The sequence below is a fragment of the Homo sapiens genome, chromosome 19 (assembly GCF_000001405.40).
Source record: "Homo sapiens chromosome 19, GRCh38.p14 Primary Assembly".
Lineage (NCBI taxonomy): Eukaryota > Metazoa > Chordata > Mammalia > Primates > Hominidae > Homo > Homo sapiens.
Window position 1 is genome coordinate 19117995 of NC_000019.10, and position 21470 is coordinate 19139464.

Below are 21470 nucleotides of genomic sequence, written 5' to 3' on the forward strand. Positions count from 1 at the left end.
TCCCTCTGAGCCACACACAAAGACCTCAACCACCCCCTTCTATCTTTCCTATTTTTATTTATTTATTTATTTTGAGACAGAGTCTCGCTCTGTCACCCACGCTGGAGTGCAATGGCGCGATCTTGGCTCACTGCAACCTCTGCCTCTGGGGTTCAAGCGATTCTCCTGCCTCAGCCTCCTGAGTGGCTGGGATTACAGGCACCTGCCACCGCACCTGGCTGATTTTTGTATTTTTAGTAGGGATGGGGTTTCACCATGTTGGCCAGGGTGGTCTCAAACTCTTGACCTCGTGATCCACCGCCTCGGCCTCCCAAAGTGCTGGGATTACAGATGTGAGCCACCATACCCAGCCTGATGAAAATTTTAAAAAAGAAAATTCTTAAACCGTTCTAAGTCAGGGAACTGTCTGTATACATCTTACTTATACAAAAAGGTTACATATGCACCTTACATTGTTTTTGTTTTTGTTTTGAGATGGAGTCTCACTCTGTCACCCAGACTGGAGTGCAATGGCATGATCTTGGCTCACTGCAACCTCTGCCTCCCGGGTTCAAGCGATTCTCCTGTCTCAGCCTCCCGAGAGGCTGGGATTACAAGTGTGCACCACCACGCTTGGCTAATTTTTTTTGTATTTTAGTAGAGACAGGGTTTCACCATGTTGGCCAGGCTGGTCTTGAACTGCTGACCTCAGGTGATTGGCCTGCCTCGGTCTCCCAAAGTGTTGGGTTACAGGCATGAGCCACGGCACCCAGCCTGCACCTTACATTGTAACACACGTGTGGACACACCCTGGAGTCACAGCTACAGGACAATTTCAGAGTCCATGACGGCCCCACATCCCTTCCCTGGGTCACCAAGGCCTCAATATGCCCCTCCCCCCTCCCTGTGTGTGATATCTATACAAGTCACCTGCATACCTGTAGCAGACGCTGGCATCACTGTGGGCTCCCCGCCCTCCCATTCCTCAAACTGGTTTTCCTCTAAGGTTTCCCTGCCCATCTAACCTTCTCCTGGCACTCCCTCATGGTGCATTTCTCTCACCTGCCCGTCCGTCCCAGGCCACCTGCCCTCTCAGCTGGGACTCCAACTTCCCCTGATTTCTGGTCTCTTCCATCCTGCTTTTGGACTTTTCCTGGGACACTTGCATTTCTTCTTTTTCTTTTTTTTTTTTTTTGAGACAGAGTTTCACTCTGTCACCCAGGCTGGAGTGTGATGCGATCTCGGCTCACTGCAGCCTCCACCTCTCAGGTTCAAGCGACTCTTCTGGCTCATCCTTCTCAGTAGCTGGAACTACATGCATGCGCCACCATGCCTAATTTTTGTTATTTTAGTAAAGACTGGGTTTCACCATGCGTTGACCAGGCTGGTCTCAAACTGCTGGCCTCAAGTGATCTGCCCGCCTTGGCTTCCCAAAGTGCTGGGATTTGGGATTACGGGCGTGAGCCGCCGAGCCTGGCCTCCTTCTTGCTCTCCTTTCTCCTCCCAGACCTTTGCTCCCCTCTCAGTCCTGCTCCTCTCTCCCTCCCGCGCAGCCCCCACCCTGCACCCGGGCAGGTGCCACAGGGACGTGCAAGACAGCTACCACCCTGCACAAGCCCGAGTCCCAAACCACTCAGACCCTGTTTGTAAAAATCGGCATGCTCCTTTATTTGTTCAGAAGAGCAGCCAGCATCACCCTTGCCACTCAAACCTGGCACATACGCTTCGGAGACAATGGCCTCGGGACCCTCATGCTGCTGGGCCCAGGAGAGACAGTTCTGAGGCAGAAACTCGGCGTCCAAGGGGGGCCGCGGGTCAGGCACTGTGGTGAAGGGAACGCCGGGGAGTCCGGCCCCACCTTGCAGCTGGGGACACGGGGGCGCAAACAGAGGGGGCAGGCTAGTGTCCCGCTGCCCCAGGAACAGACCTCAGGGCCCCAGGAGGGTCTGCAGGCAGCTAGGAGCCTGCCAAGTGCTGGTGGAAGTAGAGGCCGAAAAGGCTGGCGAGCAGCTGGCAGGCAGCCGTCCACCAGATGAGGTAGGCCAGGACGCCACGGAGGAAGAGGGGAGTAAGCAGGCCACCCAGAGCCCCGGCAATCCGCGCTGCAGTCTGCTGGACTTCGTCCTCCCCAGAGCCGATGGGGGCAGCGCTGGCTGAGGATGGGTCGGGGGATAGTAGAGGAGCTGGGCCCAGGCCCCAGGAATAGCCTCCTAGGAGAAGAGGATGAAGCGAGGTATGAGTGGAAAAATGGGGGAGGGGGCGAGGGACAGGGCTGGCACGGGGGGCCAGGCCCATTCCTCCAGACACTCCCACCCCTGTCTCAGACTCCATCTCCAGCCCAGTCTCCACCCCCTCAGGCGCTGCCCCCTGTCCAAGGCAAACCCTACCCCAGGCCCCACCTCCTGCTCAGATCCTGCCTCAATACATGCCCTGCCCCCTCCCCAGGCCCCGCCTCCTGCCAAGACGCAACCCCTCCCCAGGCTCCACCTCCTAAGGCAAACGCCATCCCAAACTCCACCTCCTGCTCAGACCCTGCCTCACCACAGTCCCCGCCCCCTACCCAGGCCCCGCCTCCTGCTCAGATTGCACCCATCCCCAGGCTCCACTTCCTGTCCAAGGCAAGCCCCACTCCAGGCTCCGCTTCCTGCTCAGACCCTGCCTTACCACAGTCTCCGCCCCCTGCCTAGGCCCCGCCTCTCCCCCCCCACCGCGGTCCCCGCCAGAGTCCACCTCCACTCTGTTTTATCTTCCAACTCCGCCCCTCCTCCACCCCCACACCGCGGCATCTCACCCAGCGTCTTGAGCAGAAGTGTGCAGTTGAGGGTGAGGATGAGCGGCGTCAGGTACTGCAAGCTCACCACGGTCACATAGCAGTAGACTCGGACCACCTGTGGGCAGGTAGCAGGGGTGGCTGCAGCAGGAGGCCTTCTGGTTTGGGACGACTCCACGCCCAAAGGACCAGGAACCCCACCCTGAGCCCCAGGTTCCCTCTGGCCTAGGTCATCGGGGCGTCCATACCCTCTGCTGGATTTCACGGGCTTCGATGCGGCCAGCCTCCCTTCGCAGCTGCTCCACCCGGGCCTTGGCCAGGCACAGGTAGGCCTGCAGGTGGGGCCGGGTCACCGCCAGCCGCAGCAGGCACAGCACCACCAGCAACCAGAGGCGCCCAGAGTCGAAGGCAGAATCGGACAGCCTGTGCGGAGAGGGCCGGGGGCAAGGGACTAAGAAGGTCGCCCCCGACCCCCCAGGATCTTCCCCAGGCTCCTCCCTGAATCTCAGAGGCTAGGGCACCCAGGGGAGCCCCAGCTACCTCCTAGCCCCACCCAATACGCACAGGGAGAAACGCGTCTCCCCAAACGGCGGCTGGTGCAGGAAGTCCCGTGCAATGGGCTTTGTCCAGAGCCACAGGATGAACAGGGGAGACAGGAAGCTGGTGTGCAGGAGGAACCTGGGGGGTGAGGGCAGGAGGGAGTGAGGCCTGGGTACCCCCTCTCCTCGAGTCTCTCCCTTAAGCTCCCTAGTCCCCCCACCCACCAAGCGACCCACTTAACTGCAGCATGGGTCTGTCCTCCGACATGGTCAGTGCGTCCCGGTGGGTCTGGGCCAGCCGCAGGCCTGGGAAGGTGAGGAAGGCACCCAGCACAGAGCCCACCACTGCCAGTCCCACGCGGATAGCCAGCTTGGCCACAGGAAGCCTAGGAGAACACCAGGTCACGAGCCTGCCTGGGGGACCCTGGGAGGGTCCCAGCCTGCCCTTGCCTCCCTCCCCCATTCCCAGGACTCACGCCCAGTCCCAGCCCTGCTTCTTCAGAAGTGGCTCTAAGTTCTGGGTCATGCTGGCCAGACCTGGGGACGATAAGAAGAGGACCGAGTAGAGTGAATTCCTAGGGTCTCTAAGGCCACTCTGTTCCCTAACCCCCCATCCCTCAGGCATCCGTTTGCTTCCCAAGTAGGAATGAACAAGGGTCTGCCAGGCCCTGAGCCAGGCACAAGGACAATTTTGTGCTCTAGTTACACAGTACTTTTTACAAGAAACAAGATTGGAGTGGTGGTTCACGCCTGTAATCCCAGCACTTTGGGAGGCTGAGGCAGGCGGATCATCTGAGATCAGGAGTTTCAGACCAGCCTGGCCAATGCAGTGAAACCCCCGTCTCTACTAAAAATACAAAAATTAGCCAGGTGTGGTGGCAGGTGCCTGTAATCCCAGCTACTTGAGAGGCTGAGGCAGGAGAATCGCTTGAACATGGGGAGCGGAGGTTGCAGTGAGCTGAGACCGCACCATTGCACTCCAGCCTTGGGGACAAGAGTGAAACTCAGTCTCAAAGAAAACGAAACAGAATGCACCAGGCAGACACTCCTGATTGGGCTGGGAACATTCAGGGGTATCTGTTGAGCCTGAGCTCCCTAGGTTATAGAAGGAATCTAGAGGGGGATGAAGGACTCCTGCAGGAGAAAACCAAAGTCCTCCTGGAGGAAGGAATCCTCAATTCAGGACCCAAGATTTTTCAAAAATTAAGAGCAGGGCTGGGTGCAGTGGCTTGCACCTGTAAGTCTCAGCACTTTGGGAGGCCAAGGCGGGTGGATCGTTTGAGCTCACAAGTTTGAGACCAGCCTGGGCAACATGGCAAAACCCCCATCTCTACAAAAAATACAAAACCAGGGGTGGTGGTGCACGCCTATAGTCCCAGCTACTGTGAAGGCTGAGGTGGGAAGGATGGGTTGAGCCCAGGATGTGGAAGTTGCAGTGAGCTGAGATCATGCCACTGCACTCCAGCACAGAGCAAGACCTTGTCAAAAAAAAAAAAAAAAAGGAGCAAATTCATATGAGCTCACAGGCAAAATCACCAAATGCATAAGGAAACAAATCACCATAAAGGAGAGTTAACAGAAAAACAACAGTCAAGTTTAGGCCTCAAAGACTTCAGAAATTGGTGCTGTCAATTATGTGTCAAATGACTAAGGAAATGAAAGCTGTAATCACAGAACAAGTGACATGAGAATTCCTTCAGATGACTGGGTAGAGTTGCAAAGGAACCAAATTAAACTCTTCCAAAGGAAAACTGTAAGTATTGAAATAATAGGTTGTTAAACAGCACATTAGGAACAGCCAAAGGAGGAAGTGATGAACTGGAAGACAGATCTGAAGAAATCACTCAGATTCCAACTCAGAAAAACAAGTAGGTGAGAAATATGAAGAGAGGCTAAGAGATAAGGAAGACAGAACAGAGAGCCCAACGCAAATCAAATCAGAGCCCCAGAGGGAGGGAAGAGAAGGAATGAAGAATAAAAGGAATTACTGGAAGAGAATGGTTGAGAAGTTTGCAGAATGAAAGACAGACACAAAGTATATCAAACCATGTAAATAAAAAGAAATCCATACCTAGACATAATGGAGTGAAACTGCAGAACACCAAAAACAAAAAAATTACAAAGCAGCCAGGGAGTTAAGACAGATCACCTACAAAGGAACAACAATTAGGCTGACAGCCAATGTCAACTGCAACAACAGAAAAGGAACAAATAGAAAGCAAAAAAGTAAGATGGTAGAAACAAAGTCAAATATGTCAGTAATCACAATAAATGTAAGTAGACTAAACTTTAAAGTTAAATGACAAAGACTGTCAGACTACATTGAAAATATCCAGCTACATGTTTTTTAAAGGATGACATACCTTGACATAAAGTCACTGGAAGACTGAAAGTAAAGGGATGTTAAAAAGATACAGCAAATACTAATCAAAAGAAAGCAAGCTAGAAAGGCTATACTACTACCAGCCAAACTAGACTAAGAAGTAGTATTAGAATAGGCCAGGCGCGGTGGCTCACACCTGTAATCTCAGCACTTTGGGAGGCCAAGACGGGCAGATCACAAAGTCAGGAGTTCGAGACGAGCCTGGCCAACATGGTGAAACCCTGGCTCTACTAAAAATCCAAAAAATAGCTGGGCATGGTGGCGGGTAATACCAGCTACTTGGGAGGCTGAGGCAGGAGAATCGCTTGAACCCAGGAGGTGGAGGTTGCAGTGAGCCGAGATTGCGCCACTGCACTCCAGCCTGGCCAACGAGAGCAAAACTCTGTCTCAAAAAAAAAAAAAGTAGTATTAGAAGACAGAAGGGTTCCATACATCATGATAAAATGGCTGATTCACCAGGAAAATGTAACAGTTCTAAATCTGTGAATAGAACTAATCTGTGAATTGTGAATAGGCTGCAAAATATATAAAGAAAACACTGACAGAATTGATAGGGAAATTGAGAGCTCTCTTGTCCCAGAGGGAGATTAACTTCTGCTGACTGATAAGTCACAGACAAAAGGTTAGGCAAGATGGAGATTTGAATTTATTAAACTCATAGAGCCAGGGAATATGTCCTTCAATTAGAACATGTGAAAAAAGGCAAAACAACAAAAACAGAATATGTCCTTCAAGAAAACAAGGAATAGTCACAAAATGTGATCACATTCCAGGCCATAGGGCAAATCTTACCAAATTTTAAAGAAATTATTTCAAATAGACCATCTGTGCAATTGAGCTAGAAATAAATATGTATTTTTTAAAGATCTATGTTTGAAAAATTTAAAAATATTTAATAATCCATAGGTCAAAGCATAGCAAGACCCCATCTCTACAGAAATCAGAAGGGAAATGTTAAAACACCCCAAACAGAATAATAAAAAATATCAGTCAAAACTTGGGTAAACTGCCAGGTGTGATGGCTCACACCTGTAATCCCAGCACTTTGAGAGGCCGAGGTGGGTGGATCACCTGAGGTTAGGAGTTTGAGACCAGCCTGGCCAACATGGTAAAACCCCGTCTCTACTAAAAATACAAAAATTAGCCAGGCGTGGTGGCGTGCACCTGTAATCCCAGCTACTCAGGAGGCTGAGGCAGAAGAATTGCTTGAACCCAGGAGGCAGAGGTTGTAGTGAGCTGAGATTGCACAGTTGCACTCCAGCCTGGGTGACAAGAGCAAAACTCCATCTCAAAACAAAAACAAAAACAAAAAAAAACTTAGGTGAACAAAAGTGAGACCTGGTAAAATATATATAGCATTAAATGCTATATATGCTATAAAATTAGAAAAGATTGAAAATTTATGAGCCAAGTAGCTAACTGAGAAATTGGAAACAAGAAAAGGAGGTACGCCAGTACTGTTCTCAAATCCAGAGGTCCTAGCCACACCAAAGGGGAAGGATCAGACAGAACAAAAGAAAACCAAAAAGAATCTGCAATTCAATAAAAATATAATTGTTTAGCAAGGTTAGTCCGTGGAGACACTCAAATTTGACCCCTATATGATAACACAAAAATTAATGTCACTGTCCATCAGCAACAGTGAGTAGTTTAGGAGCTTATATGAAATGTAAAAGTTGAAATATTTTATTTATTGATTTTTAAGATGGAGTCTTGCTCTTGTCGCCCAGGCTAGAGTGCAATGGCGTGATTTCGGCTCACTGCAACCTCTGCCTCCGGGGTTCAAGTGATTCTCCTGCCTCAGCCTCCCGAGTAGCTGGGATTACAGGTGCATGCCACCTTGCCCAGCTTTTTTTTTTTTTTTTTTTTTAGACGGAGTCTCGCTCTGTTGCCCAGGCTGGAGTGCAGTGGCGCGATCTTGGCTCACTGCAAGCTCCACCTCCCGGGTTCACGCCATTCTCCTGCCTCAGCCTCCCCAGTAGCTGGGACTACAGGCGCCTGCCACCACGCCTGGCTAATTTTTTGTATTTTTAGTAGAGACGGGGTTTCACGGTGTTAGCCAGGATGGTCTCGATCTGCCGACCTCGTGATGTGCCCATCTCGGCCTCCCAAAGTGCTGGGATTACAGGCATGAGCCACCACCCCTGGCCAGTCATTCTATATTTTCTTCTAAAATATTTCAGCCAGGCGTGGTGGCAAGCGCCTGTAATCCCAGCACTTTGGGAGGCTGAGGCAGGTGGATTGCCTGAGGTCTGGAGTTCAAGACCAGCCTGGTCAACGTGGTGAAACCCCATCTCTAGTAAAAAATACAAAAAGTAGGCCGGGCACGGTGGCTCGCGCCTGTAATCCCAGCACTTTGGGAGGCTGAGGCGGGTGGATTGCCTGAGGTCTGGAGTTCAAGACCAGCCTGGTCAGCATAGTGAAACCCCATCTCTAGTAAAAAATACTAGAGATCGCCCACTGCACTCCAGCCTGGGGGAAAGAGCGAGACTCTGTCTCAAAAAAAAAAAAAAAGACAATGTAGAATGACTTTCTGATTTTAGGGAAGGATATTTTTCAAGACAAATATCAACTAAAATAATCAACTTCCATTCATCAAGACACTAGAGGTGACACTTACAACTACATTTGACGACTCAGCAAAGAAAGTGTGATGCATGTATGCAGACGGAAAATAATGCAAATAGTGGTCAAATGAAAACAAAAGAAGTATTGGCAATGAAGTGGATAAATTTGGAACACTTGTGCACTGCTGCTGGGAATATAAAATATAAAATGGGCTGAGCACAGTGGTGCACACCTGTAATCCCAGCACTTTGGAAGGCCGAGGCTGGCGATTGCTTGAGTTCAAGAGTTCAAGACTAGCCTGGGCAACATGGCAAAATCTGTCTCTATTAAAAACACAAAAATTATCTGGGTGTAGCCAGATGTGGTGGCTCACACCTGTAATCTCAGCACTTTGGGAGGCCAAGATGGGCAGGATCACCTGAGGTCAGGAGTTAAAGACCAGCCTGGCCAACATGGCAAAACCCCATCTCTACTAAAAATGCAAAAATTAGCCAGGTGTGGTGGCGCACACCTGTAATCCCAGCTACTTGGGAGGCTGAGGCAAGAGAATCACTTGAGCCTGGAAGGTGGAGGTTGCAGTGAGCCAAGATCATGCCACTGTACTCTAGCCTGGGTGACAGAGGGAGACTGTCTCAAAAAATAAAAATAAAAATAAAAAAATAAATTAGCTGGGTGTGGTGGTGGGAGCCTGTAGTCCCAGCTACTTGGGAGCCTGAGGCATGAGAATCACTTGAATCCGGGAGGCAAAGGTTGCAGTGAGTGGAGATCACGCCACCACTGCACTCCAGCCAGGGCAACAGAATGAGACTCTGTCTCAAAAATAAAATAAAATGGTTCAGCTGCTGTATAAAACAGTATGGCAGTCCCTCAAAAAATTAAAAGTAGAATTATCATATAATCCAGCAGTTCCACTTCTGGATATATACTCTCCAAAACTGAAAATGGGGTCTCAAAGAGATACCTGTACACTCAGGTTCACAGCGGTATTAGTCAAAAAGCCAAAAGTTGGGAACAACCCAAGCATTCATCTGTGGATGAATAAACAAAATGTGTTCCACCCAGACAATGAAATAGTGTTCAGTCTTTTTTTTTTTTTTTTTTTTTGAGATGGAGTCTTGCTCTTTCACCCAGGCCGGAGTGCAGTGGCACTATCTAAGCTCACTGCAAGCGCCGCCTCCTGGGTTCACACCATTCTCCTCCCTCAGCCTCCCGAGTAGCTGGGACTACAGGTACCCGCCACCACACCCGGCTAATTTTTTGTATTTTTTTTAGTAGAGACGGAGTTTCACCATGTTAGCCAGGATGGTCTCGATCTCCTGACCTCGTGATCCGCCCGCCTTGGCCTCCCAAAATGCTGGGATTACAGGCGTGAGCCACCGTGCCTGGCAGTGTTCAGTCTTAAAAATGGAATTCTGGCTGGGCCCAGTGGCTCACGCCTGTCATCCCAGCACGTTGGGAGGCGGAGGTGAGAGGACTGCTCGAGGCCAGGAGTTTGAGACCAGCCTGAGAAGCATAGCAAGACCCCATCTCTACAGAAAAAAAAAAAAAAATTAAAAATTAGCCAGGTGTGGTGGCATGTGCCTGTGGTCCCAGCTACTTGGAAGGCTGAGGTGGGAGGATCACTTGAGCCCTGGAGATCAAGGCTGCAGTGAGTTGTGATTGCACCACTGCACTCCAGCCTCGGTGACAGAGTGAGATCCTGTCTCAAAAAAAGAAAAAAAAATTCTAACACCTGCTACAACATGGATATGCCTTGAGGACATTGTGCTAACTGAAATGAGCACGTCACAAAAGGACAAATACTGTATGATGCCACTTATATGAGGAACCCAGAGTGGTCACATTCACAGAGACAGGACGTAAAATGGTGGGTGTCAGGGGCTGCAAGAAGGAGGAACAGGGAGTTAGTGTTTGATGGGCTGGAGTTTCAGTTTTGCAAGAGCAAAGAGTTGTGGAGATGGACGGTGGTGATGGTTGCACGACATCTAAATAGACTTTTTTTTTTTTTTTTTTTTTGAGATGGACTCTTGCTCTGTCGCCCAGGCTGGAGTGCAGTGGCGCGATCTCAGCTCACTGCAAGCTCCGCCTACCAGGTTCACGCCATTCTCCTGCCTCAGCCTCCCAAGTAGCTGGGACTATAGGCGTGTGCCATTAGCCTAGCTAATTTTTTGTATTTTTAGTAGAGACAGGGTTTCACCATGTTAGCCAGGATGGTCTTGATCTCCTGACCTTGTGATCCGCCTGCCTTGGCCTCCCAAAGTGCTGGGATTACACATGTGAGCCACCACACCTGGCCTACATTTTTTTTTTTTTTTTTTTTTTGAGACGGAGTTTCACTCTTGTTGCTCAGGCTGGAGCACAATGGCTCGATCTTGGCTCACCACAACCTCCGCTTCCTGGGTTCAAGCAATTCTCCTGCCTCAGCCATCCAAGTAGCTGGGATTACAGGCATGTGTCACCACGCCCGACTAATTTTGTATTTTTAGTAGAGACAGGGTTTCTCCATGTTGATCAGGCTGGTCTTGAACTCCCGACCTCAGGTGATCTGCTTGCCTGAGCCTCCCAAAGTGCTGGGATTACAGGCATGAGCCACCATGCTCGGCCATCTAAATATACTTAATGCCACTGAGCTGCACATTTAAAAATGGTTAAGATGGTGAATTTTATGTTTTGTCTATTTTACCACAATGAAAAAAAATTCAAAGAGAAAAAAGATTCAAAGATGGGCAACAATGTGAACAGGTATTTCACAAAAATTTCACAGAAGAGACATGAATCATGAATAAACAGGAAAAGGTGCTCAACTTCCCTGGTAATCAGAGACATGCATGTTAAGGCCACAGAGGGCATCATTCCATGTGACGAGGGCTAGGTTGGCAAAAATCAAGCCCTATCCATGGATCTTGATTCATTTAAACCTTACTGCCGCCCCCTTGGGAGATTGGTGCAGTCACTACCCCACCTACTTATTATTTGAGGGGTAGGTTTGCAGGTACTCATATGATTATTTTGCTTTATAATTGACATACACATCTTCTTTGTATATATCAAACATATATAATTTTAAAAACTGAAAGGCAGGGAGAATTGGAGAAGGTAAAACTCAAGCAGTCAGCAGGGTCATGTGGGCCATGGTGAGGGCTATGGTCTTTCTCCTAAGACCGGGGGAGTGTGGTGCCGGGCAGAGAAGTGATGAGGTCCAAATTATATGTTAAAAGGATCATTTAAGAGGCCAGGCACGGTGGCTCACACCTGTAATAACAACAATTTGGGAGGCTGAGGCGGGCAGACTGCTTGAGCTCAGGAGTGTGAGACCAGCCTGGGCAACATAGTGAGACCCTGTTTCAATAAAAATAAATAAATAAATAATTTTTTAAAAAAATGAAAAAAGAGGCCACACACAGTGGCTCATACCTGTAATCCCAGCACTTGGGGAGGCTGAGGTGGGTGGATCACCTGAGGTCAGGAGTTTGAGACCAGCCTGGCCAACATGGTGAAACCCCATCTTTACTAAAAATACAAAAATTAGCCAGGCGTGGTGGTGCACACCCATAATCCCAGCTTGGGAGGCTGAGGCAGGAGAATCACTTGAATGCAGGAGGCAGAGGTTGCAGTGAGCCAAGATCATGCCACTGAACTCCTGCCTGGGTGACAAAAGTGAAACTCCATCTCAAAAAAAAAAGAAAAAAAAAGAGCTATAGCCATGAGTGTCCATCAGAGACAGTGAGAGAGGCAATGTCCTGTCTTCCCCAAAGCCCAACAAGGTTCAGGAGCTGAGATGGTCACTAATGGGGACTGCCTTCACCCCAGGAGCCCACTCCTTTGCCTACTCGTGCTGGACACGGAGCCAGTTAAACCATCTTGGTCAGATTACATGAGGGAGTGACAGCTGCGGTGGCCCCACGTTGGGGGCTGCACTTACCAGGCTCCAGGCCCAGCTCGAGGGTCTCCTCCCGCACCACTTGCACCAGCATGGCCAGCAGCAGGAAGAGGAAGGCAAAGGTGAGGCAGACAGAGCGCTCACCCCCCTCCTCGGCGCTGAAGTACAGCCGTGTCACTGTCAGGAACATCTTGCTGGAGGCTGGAGCTAAGGAGGCCTCAGGTGCCACTGCCCCACTCTGCCCATTTCACCACACTCCGTCTGGGACCCCAGAACTCCAGGGAACAAGCACTGCTGCACAAATAGGCCTTGGGGATGACCTAGAGGAGTTCGGTTTTGGGGTGCTGGATCTCAGATCAGGATGTGGGCTGGGGGTTCCCGTTGAGTGGGAGATGGCCTCATCAGGCCACCGTGTCTGTACAGCCTCCCGCCCTGGGTGACCCTGCCTCTTTCACCCACCTCACCTACTTCACATCCCTTGGAAAAGCAATCAGATATAGAAGGGCTTCATCTCCAATCTGCTGTCAAAATGCAGCATGGGGGCCAGACACAGTGGCTCATGCCTGTAATCCCAGCACTTTGGGAGGCCAAGGCAGGAGGATCACTTGAGCCCAGGAGTTCAAGAGCAGCCTGGGTAACATAGTGAGACCCCCATCTCTACAAAAAATAATTTTGTGGTAGCCCCTGTGGTCCCAGCTACTGGGGAGCCTGAGGTGGGAGGATCGCTTGAGCCCAGGAGTTTGAAGCTGCAGTGAGCCCTGATTGCACCACTGCACTCCAGCCTGCACGACAGAGGGATATCTTGTCTCAAACAACAACAACAGGCCAGGCGCAGTGGCTCATGCCTGTAATCCCAGCACTTTGGGAGGCTGAGACAGGTAGATCACCTGAGGTCAGGAGTTTGAGACCAGCCCTGACCAACATGGTGAAACCCAGTCTCTACTAAAAATACAAAAATTAGTCAGGCATGGTGGCGCATGCCTGTAATCCCAGCTACTTGGGAGGCTGAGGCAGGAGAATCACTTGAACCCGGGAGACAGAGGTTGTAGTGAGCCTAAATCATGCCACTGCACTCCAGCCTGGGCAACAAGAGTAAAACTCCATCTCAAAAAACAAAACAAAACAAAAAACAAAAAAGCATGGGAATCTGGGGAACCAGTGGATTTTAAGACAGGTTTCCCACTCCAAAAGTCACAGGAGTAGCATTCTTTCTGTGCTTCCTCAGACTTGGGTCCCCAAAGTCATGTATTTGCTCTCTTTGGGAGGCCAAGGCAGGAGAATCACTTGAAGCCAATCAGGACCAGCCTAGGCAACAAAGCAAGATCCTGTCTCAACAACAACAACAAATATATATACATGTACATACATACACACACACACATATATATATATATACACACACACACACACACACACACAATTTTTTGGGGGGATGTAGTTTCGCTCTTGTCACCCAGGCTGGAGTGCAATAGCATGATCTTGGCTCACTGCAACCTCCACCTCCCGGGTTCAAGCAATTCTCCTGCCTCAGGCTCCTGAGTAGCTGGGATTACAGGTATGCACCACCACCCCCGGCTAATTTTTGTACTTTTAGTAGAGAAGGGGTTTCTCAATGTTGGTCAGGCTGGTCTTGAACTCCTGACCTCAGATGATCCACCTGCCTCGGCCTCCCAAAGTGCTGGGATTACAGGCATGAGCCACCGCGCCTGGCTAATTTTTGTATTTTTAGTAGAGACGGGGTTTCACCATGTTGGCCAGGCTGGTCTTGAACTCCAGACCTCAGGTGATCCGCCTGCCTCAGCTTCCCAAAGTGCTGGGATTACAAGCATGAGCCACCATGCCTGGAGTATATATTTTTTAAAATTTTGCCAAGGGACCATATCTTTCTTGGCCCTGATTGTGGACTGGCCTGGTGATTTCCTTAAACAAGGAGAATGTGGTAGAAAGAATAGGGATGGGGTGGGTGACTTTGGGCAAGGCATTCCCTCCTGCCTCCTGGCATTTCTACTGCCACCAAAGGGCATGACCATGTGGAGTGGAGATGAACCGACCTGCTGAGCCCAGCCCAGTCTGTCCACCCACAGAGCTGGAGCACATAAAATGTCTGCTTCATGTCACTAAGCTTGGGGAAGTTTGTGGCACAGCAGGTGAAAACTGCCACACCAGTTTAGGGGAGCCAGGGAAGCTCAGGTCCTGCTCCCACCCGCCCCACTGGCAGGGAGCAGAGAGGAAGGATACATGGAGAAGGTCACCGTGAGCAGGCACCAGAACACAGCAATGTTAGTCTCCTTGGCTGGTCCCAGCATGTAGTAGTAGGCCTCTGTGAAGAGGTACACGCCGCCCGAGTACACAGCAAAGTCCACAAACCACTGGTACTCCAGGAAGAAGCGCAGGACTGTGGGGGGCACTCTGCTCAGCCCTGGGGCCCAGCTCGCTCCCCTCCTAATAGAACATTCTTCCTTCAAATCCTCCCCACCCCCATGAGGGTGTGGAGACCTTCAGGGCTGAGGGAGTAGAGTTTAGGGATGGGACTGGGCTATTACCCAGGGCATCCACGGTCGTGAGGGGGCAGGTCTCCAGCTGGAACGGGGCATCTCGGGGCACAGACAGTGGCTTCTCCTCACTAAGGCCATTGGCCCACCTGGGAGGATGGTGACAAGCAAGAGGGACGGTGAGCACGCATTCCACTGAGGCCAGCCACCCTCAGAGCTCAGAGCAGCTGGCCTGGAGACCATCTCTTTCCACAACCTTGGCTCCTCTGCACACTGGGATATGGGGATCCCCCCACCCACCCACAGGACTGGCTAGAGCAAACTGCCAGGAAACAGATGCTAACTTGACAGTGACCATCTCCTTGGACTAGGGTCTCCCGGTTCACCTGTGCCCAGATCAGCGCCTGGAAGTATGGGTGGGCCGGTCCTGTGTCCCTGAGCCCAGAGCCCCCTGAGCAGGGGTGAGGCCGTTCCTGGGGAGGAGCCACCCTCCCAAGGCTGGGGCTGGGGCCCAGGTCACTCACCGCTCTTTCCTGCCTCTGGGCCTCGGCTTCCCCGCCAGGGCCCGAAGCTCCTCCTCAGACGGGTGCTTGTATCGGAACAAACTGAGAGCAAGGACGGGCAGTCAGGGAAGCTCAGGCGTGGGGTTGGGAGGTTGAGGCAGTGAACCCCAAATCCAGGGATTCTAGTTAGAGGGTAGCCTAGGCCAGGGGAACACTGGGAGGTAGGTGAGGGTACAGCATGGGGAAATTCTGGGGAAATCGTGAGACCAACAGATCTAGGCTGAGTGGGCTCCGGGGGCTTGGATACCCCTGAATCTGCTGGCTAACTCTCCTGGGGAAGCCAGTGTGTGCAACTTTTCTTTTCTTTTTCATTTTCTTTTTGAGACAGAGTCTCCCTCTGTCACCCAGACTGGAGTGCAGTGGCATGATCTTGGCTCACTGCAACCTCCACTTCCCCGGTTCAAGTGATTCTCCTGCCTCAGCCTCCCGAGGAGCTGGGACTACAGGCATGCGCCACCATGCCCAGCTAATTTTTGTATTTTTACCAGAGACAGGGTTTCACTATGTTGGCCAGGCTGGTCTCAAACTCCTGACCTCAAGTGATCCACCCGCCCCGGCCTCCCAAAGGGCTGGGATTACAGGTGTGAGCCACCTCGCCCGGCCTTTGTTTTTTGTTTTTGAGAGAAGGCCTTGGTCTGTCGCCCAGGCTGGAGTACAGTGGCACCATCTCAGCTCACTGCAGATTTGACTTTCTGGGCTCAAACGATCCTCCTGCCTCAGACTCCTGATTAGCTGGGATCACAGGCGTGAGCCACCATACCTGGCTAATTTTTAAAATATTTTGTAGAGACAGGGTCTTGCCATGTTGCCCAGGCTGGTCAAGTGATCCTCCCACCTTGGCTTCCCCCAGTGTTGGGATTATGGGCCTGAGCTATCATCTCTGACGTGTTTTTTTTTTTTGCCTTTGTTTTTGTCACATACATTTTTCTCAGGAGAGAATTCAGTTGCCACCAGATTCTCAGAAAGCATCACAGACCCACGCAAGGACAAAAACCAGAGCAGGCGAGCTCTAGCAGATGCAGGGGTGGAAGGAAGGCTGGGTTACAGGGAGGCAGGAAGAGTGAGGGACGTGGGGAGTGTGGTGATGGTTCCACACATGTGTACACCTGTCAAAACTAGTCCAACTGTGTACTTCAAATATATACAGTTTGTGTCAGGCATGGGAACTCACGCCTGTAATCCCAGCACTTTGGGAGGCCAAAGTGGTAGGATCGCTTGAGCCTAGGAGTTTGAGACCAGCCTGGGCAACTTAGCAAGACCCCATCTCTATTAAAAATTTAAAAATTGTCTGGGCATGGTGGCGCACACCTGTAGTCCCAGCTACTCAGGAGATTGAGGCAGGAGGGTCACTTGAGCCCAGGAGGTTGAGGTTGCAGTGAGCTATGATCAGGTCACTGCACTCCAGACTGGGTAACAGAGTGAGACCCTGTCTCTAAAAAGAAAAAGAAAAAACAAATATATGCAGTTTGTTGTACTTCAATTACACCTCAACAACGTTTTTCCCCCCACCACCCACCAACCAAAATCAAGGCTTTGCAATTTGTGAGGCGGGGCGTGGGGAGCCAGAAGGGGGCGTGACTCCGCGGGCCCCTCCCACCGCCGGGGCGGGGCTCACCTGCCGTTACAGAGCAGCCAGCGCGCGAAGGAGCAGTGTGGCGCCAGCCTGTGCATGAGGGTGGCAGTGAGCAGGGTCACCACCAGCTGTACTCCGAGGACCGCCTGGGGGGAGGGGACATGACTGGCAGCACCTGCCAGAGGGTCACAAGTTCCCTCCCTCCCTAGGAACCCAGGCTATTTATAGAGAAGTCAGGCTGGATGGGGGAAGGGCGAGCCTCTTAGGCTCTAGCGGCTTCTTAGGGGAGAGTCCTGGGGTGAGTCTGGACTCACCTAGCATGGCCCTGCCCTCCCACGTCAGAGATCAACACCCACCCTCACCACCTAGCGGGAGTGTAGGGCAGTGGAGACCATGGGATTTGCCTCCCGCCTCCGCTATGGATTCAGGTATAATATTAATTTCCCGGAGTCTCAGTTTTCTCATCTGGAAATGGGTGCTTCCTATGTAGTCTCCTGTATTCCTCACCACCACCTTCCAGCCCCTAACCACGAGCCCGCCACACTCAGTGAAAGCGGCTCCCACCGCCTTCTGCACCCCACACTGTCACCTAGGGAGCCACTGCGTCTCGGTTGAGCTTCTAGCTTTCTCCTTCACCTGGTAGCTCCTTCCCCTAAGTGTCTCCCACCTTAAGTGATCCCTGATGGTTCCATCACCCTCCTCCCTCTTCTTCCCTTTGTAATTAACCTCCTTGAAAGGGCGTCTATGCTCCTGGCCACCTCCTGTTTTGGTGTGAAGACCTACATGTCTGAGTGGGGTGAGCTTATTTATTTTTATTTATTTATTTATTTTTTTGGCAAGGGAGTGGTGGGGAGAACAGGGTCTTGCTCTGTCACCCAGGCTGGAGTGCAGTGGCATGCTGGGGTGCTCACTGCAGCCTCAACCTCCCAGGCTCAAGTGATTCTCCCACATCAGCCTCCCTAGTAGCTGGGATTACAGGCACTCGCCACCATACCCAACTAATTTTTGTCTATTTTGTAGAGACAGGGTTTCTCCATGTTGCCAGGCTGGTCTTGAACTCCTAGGCTCAAGCAATCCTCCTGCCTTGGCCTCCCAAACGGTTGGGATTACAGGCGTGAGCCACTGTGTCCGGCCTATTTTTATTTTTATTTTTAGAGATGGGGTCTTGCTATGTTGTCCAGGCTGGTCTCAAACTCCTGGGCTCAAGTGATCCTCCCACCTCAACCTACCGAGTAGTTAGGACTACAGTCATGTGCCAACACACCCAGCTAAGGCTTTTTTTTTTTTTAATTAGGAATTTTCTCACCCAGTTCTTAATTCAGAACACATTTTCATATACTTATTTTTAAACGTTTTAGAAGAATCAGTCTGTGGTGAAGCTGGGTTTTCCTGCTTGAATGCAGTAAATACCCATTTGCTGCCAGTAATTACATAATTATGTAAAATTATGTGCTCAGGAGAGCTGTCTACTAGTGTTCTGGAATTATCATCAAAATGAAATAAAGTTTATTTAATAGTAAAATTAATTATGAAAATAATCCTTTAATCAGGCATAAATAAGCTAAATTTAGTCGGAAAAACCCTAATGTGATGGGTACCGGGCCTAGCACGGTAATTCAAAATGACTGCTGAGGCCAGGTGCGGTGGCTCGTGCCTGTAATCCCAGCATGTTGGGAGGCTGAGGCGGGCTGATCACTTGAGGTCAGGAGTTTGAGACGAGCCTGGCCAACATGATGAAACCTTGTCTCTACTAAAAATACAAAAATTAGCCAGACATGGTGGTGGGCGCCTGTAATCCCAGCTACTTGGGAGGCTGAGGCAGCAGAATTGCTTGAACCTGGGAGGCAGAGGTTGCAGTGAGCCGAGATTGTGCCACTGCACTCCAGCCTGGGCAACAGAGTGGGACTCTGTCTCAAAACAAAATAATAATAATAATAAAATAAAAATACATAAAATAACAGACTAATAGGACATTTTCTCTGTACCTGTGACTTGTAAACTGAGACCAGAAATCTTTTTTCAGTAATGAGGTTGGTGGCGGCATCTTTCTCATCTCTAAGTCCTCATTGCTCGCCCTCCCCGGGACCCTAGTGCAGACTGGCTGGCTGGCACTTAGGGACCATGAGTGCCAGCCCATGGGCCCCTGCAAGCCAGTGGGTCAGGGCTGTTGAAGCCCCACCCTTCCCCTAGGACCCTGCCCTCCCACCCCCCAGTCTGTTTTTCTCCTCTCTCTCCGACCTCTCTCCTGTGACCTGCCAGGGTTTTAACCACCCAATCAGCCAGCCCATCAAAACCTCAGCACGGTGACACCTCCAGCCCAGACCTCTCTGCTGAGCTCAACCAGTAGCCTCCTCCAGGCTCTCCTGGGAGACCCTAGCACTCACCCATCATCCCATACCCTTCCAGGTGGTTCAGGCCCTTCCCAGTCTCACAGTCAGCCCCCAACTTGGTTCTGCACCCTGCAGGCATAGCTAGAGACCATCCCTCCACCTCCCCACAGCTCAGCTCTCTCCTCAGCCCTCCCTGCACCCAACCACTGGAGTCTCAGAGGTCTTCCTGGACCTTTGGGCTCTTCATCAATGACCCCACCACCCCCCAAAACCCCCCAAGGGAAAAGGTGGTGGAGGGGTGCATCTCTCCACCTAAGGCTCCCAGAGGTCTGTCCAGGGATGTTCTGATGGCCCTGCCCTCCACCCAGCCTCCTGTCTCAGGGTCAGGGCTCTGCAGACATCTGCAAGAATTTTCTGGAGTCTTCCATCAGCTCCTTCTTTTCCCTTCACTGGATTTACGATTCTCGAACTCAAGAACCCTGATAAAATCAATGCAGCCTCCCTCCTCATTCCCGGGAGCCTGTGCCTTCATCTCCTACGGCGTCCTGCACCTCCGCCTGGGACGACGCCCCACTTTCAATAATTCCGGCCATCAGTGCCCTTCCTTCAGGGCCATCTCCAGCGCCCCTCCTCGGGGATGGTCCCAGGCAGAGACCCTCCAGTTCCACGTCCCTCTCTCTGCCCAGGCCGGTCCCGTCAGGGTTGTGGGAGTCCCCCATCTCCCTGCACCAGCCTGACCCCCAGGGGCTGGGCTAAGTTTTAAGAACACACTCAATAGGTTGGACCCAGAGCCGCGTGAGACCTGAAGGTTCCAACTTTCCTGTCTCCCACTCTGAGAACCTTGCCCGCCCTGAGGCCAACCAGACCTCCTGAGTCCACCTCCCACGGCCTCCCCTGCCCGTTCCACACACCCCGATATAGCAGGGACCCCCGATGGATCCTGTCGGCGCGGCCCCCACGCTCCTGCAGGACCCCCGTCCCCAGAGTGGACCCCCAACAGGACCCCACACCGCCTTAACCAGGTTCCAAATGTGCTGGGGTCCCCAGTCCCCTCTGTGGGACCACGACCCCTCAAAAGGATCCCAGACCCCTAAAAGGTCTCGAGGGCAGAATCCCCAGAACGCTTAGGGGCTTCTAGTCCCCCTGGGTACAACTCCCGCCGACTCCCTCGGAGGTCCTGTAGCGAGAGCAGGGCTCCCAGAGAGGGACACACGGCCTTCAGCGTGCCCCCGAATCCCTCAGAGCCTCCAATCCCCAAGAAGAAACCCCAATCCATTCCCTCAGTGTCTCCCTGGACCCCTTCGGCTGGACCTCGGCCCTGCAGAACCCCCCACTTCGCGGGACGCTCGCTCACCATGACGCGTGCGAGAACGCGGTGCACTCACCCACCGGCCTAGGGCTCCGGGCACTCTGCGGAAACTCGACCAATTAGAGCCCGACTCTGGTCTGACGAGCATCCCGTCCGACCAATCAGTGTGTCTTGAGCCGGCAAATCACCAGGGACGAGGAGGCCGCTCGCGTTGCATGCCGGAAATTGTAGTTCAGATACGCTGGTTCGGATCGATCAAAGTGAAGATTGTGTCTGGGAGGCCTGCGTGGCCGACCTCTCTTAAGGCTTAGTTTTCTCTTTCCTACACTTATCTCAAAGGTTTGCAGCGAAAGCATTTATTCCCACCTAAGGGACATTTCTGAGAGTAGAATTCCCTCCCCCCATCAAGAACATTCAATGGCTCCCACTTAGTAGACGAAGTACTTAGTACTCCTAAGTACTAAGTAGGCTAAGTACTCAGACTGAATTCAGACCCTTCTGCCTGACTTAAATCTGCTGCTAGCACTATTGTGCACCCTATAGTACAACTTGCACCCACCATGCTGTCTCATACCTCCAGGCCTTTGTAAATATCCTACATCTTGCAATGCCTTCAAGAATGCCTCAATCTTAAAATAAAAACAAAACAAAAGCAAAAAAGAATGCCTCAATCTTTTTCACCTGGCAAGTGCCTTATTCATCTCTATCAGCTAGGACTCTGGCTGTGCTCCACAAAATATCAACTAACATGGGTTCAAGCAAAAAAGGAAAATTTTTGGCTCATGTGACAGAAAATACTAGCCATAGTGTCAGCTTCAGGCGTGGCTGGATCAAGGACCAAATGTCAGCTTCAGGGATCTGATGTTCTTTATTTCACCGCTAGGAGGAAAGGGCTTCTGGTGTTTGTGCCCCGGTTTTGCCATTTGTCTTTCTGTGGATGAGTGTGTCTGCCTGAGTGTAGACATATATTGGGTATGACTGAGTGTCTGAGCATCTTTATGGGGGTGGGTTCCTGTGTGTGGGGCCTGAGTAATTACCTTTTCGTTTTTACATTTTATTATGTATTTGTGTATTAATTTTTTTT

The 21470-nt window shown here is 51.2% G+C and overlaps 1 protein-coding gene across 4 annotated transcripts, besides 8 other annotated features; it reads right to left on the bottom strand.

The window, feature by feature from the left end:
* On the bottom strand, positions 1175-20484 carry TMEM161A (transmembrane protein 161A). 4 transcript variants are annotated; one of them, NM_017814.3, is made up of 12 exons: positions 20432-20484; positions 16790-16893; positions 15136-15216; positions 14663-14760; positions 14358-14514; positions 12162-12313; positions 3765-3825; positions 3531-3674; positions 3314-3427; positions 2998-3172; positions 2771-2867; positions 1175-2189 (listed from the first exon to the last, which is right to left on the bottom strand). In NM_017814.3, the coding sequence occupies exons 1-12, from the start codon at positions 20432-20434 to the stop codon at positions 1936-1938; spliced, it is 1440 nt and encodes a 479-aa protein (NP_060284.1). In that variant the 5' UTR covers positions 20435-20484; the 3' UTR covers positions 1175-1935. The 4 variants fall into 4 exon arrangements, with proteins under 4 accessions (NP_060284.1, XP_047294979.1, NP_001398060.1 ...); XM_047439023.1 differs by having other exon boundaries at positions 16790-16922; NM_001411131.1 differs by having other exon boundaries at positions 1623-2189; positions 14358-14439.
* Positions 1223-1409: a silencer, noted in NCBI's record as "fragment chr19:19230026-19230212 (GRCh37/hg19 assembly coordinates)". NCBI's record gives its function as "represses an EF-1alpha promoter that drives an FKBP-Casp9 reporter gene in an ReSE screen in phorbol 12-myristate 13-acetate-treated (for megakaryocytic differentiation) K562 erythroleukemia cells {active_cell/tissue: K562(+PMA)}" and the evidence as "EXISTENCE:reporter gene assay evidence [ECO:0000049][PMID:32094911]".
* Positions 1377-1956: an enhancer, noted in NCBI's record as "H3K27ac-H3K4me1 hESC enhancer chr19:19230180-19230759 (GRCh37/hg19 assembly coordinates)". NCBI's record gives its function as "activates a minimal SCP1, AML or CMV promoter by ChIP-STARR-seq in naive H9 embryonic stem cells {active_cell/tissue: H9 hESC(naive)}" and the evidence as "EXISTENCE:reporter gene assay evidence [ECO:0000049][PMID:30033119]".
* Positions 1957-2535: an enhancer, noted in NCBI's record as "H3K27ac-H3K4me1 hESC enhancer chr19:19230760-19231338 (GRCh37/hg19 assembly coordinates)". NCBI's record gives its function as "activates a minimal SCP1, AML or CMV promoter by ChIP-STARR-seq in primed H9 embryonic stem cells {active_cell/tissue: H9 hESC(primed)}" and the evidence as "EXISTENCE:reporter gene assay evidence [ECO:0000049][PMID:30033119]".
* Positions 2536-3114: an enhancer, noted in NCBI's record as "H3K27ac-H3K4me1 hESC enhancer chr19:19231339-19231917 (GRCh37/hg19 assembly coordinates)". NCBI's record gives its function as "activates a minimal SCP1, AML or CMV promoter by ChIP-STARR-seq in primed H9 embryonic stem cells {active_cell/tissue: H9 hESC(primed)}" and the evidence as "EXISTENCE:reporter gene assay evidence [ECO:0000049][PMID:30033119]".
* Positions 19866-20727: an enhancer, noted in NCBI's record as "H3K27ac-H3K4me1 hESC enhancer chr19:19248669-19249530 (GRCh37/hg19 assembly coordinates)". NCBI's record gives its function as "activates a minimal SCP1, AML or CMV promoter by ChIP-STARR-seq in primed H9 embryonic stem cells {active_cell/tissue: H9 hESC(primed)}" and the evidence as "EXISTENCE:reporter gene assay evidence [ECO:0000049][PMID:30033119]".
* Positions 20212-20421: an enhancer, noted in NCBI's record as "active region_14336". NCBI's record gives its function as "activates an Ori minimal core promoter by ATAC-STARR-seq in GM12878 lymphoblastoid cells {active_cell/tissue: GM12878}" and the evidence as "EXISTENCE:reporter gene assay evidence [ECO:0000049][PMID:35858748]".
* Positions 20482-20561: a silencer, noted in NCBI's record as "silent region_10432". NCBI's record gives its function as "represses an Ori minimal core promoter by ATAC-STARR-seq in GM12878 lymphoblastoid cells {active_cell/tissue: GM12878}" and the evidence as "EXISTENCE:reporter gene assay evidence [ECO:0000049][PMID:35858748]".
* Positions 20702-20891: an enhancer, noted in NCBI's record as "active region_14337". NCBI's record gives its function as "activates an Ori minimal core promoter by ATAC-STARR-seq in GM12878 lymphoblastoid cells {active_cell/tissue: GM12878}" and the evidence as "EXISTENCE:reporter gene assay evidence [ECO:0000049][PMID:35858748]".

Excerpts from the sequence above, each read along its gene's own strand:
- TMEM161A (NM_017814.3), bottom strand. Across the intron at positions 14,761-15,135 it reads CCCAGAGGCAGGAAAGAGCG|GTGGGCCAATGGCCTTAGTG; the intron begins GTGAGTGACCTG and ends CCATCCTCCCAG. Across the intron at positions 12,314-14,357 it reads CTCACGGTGACCTTCTCCAT|CAAGATGTTCCTGACAGTGA; the intron begins GTATCCTTCCTC and ends TCCAGCCTCCAG.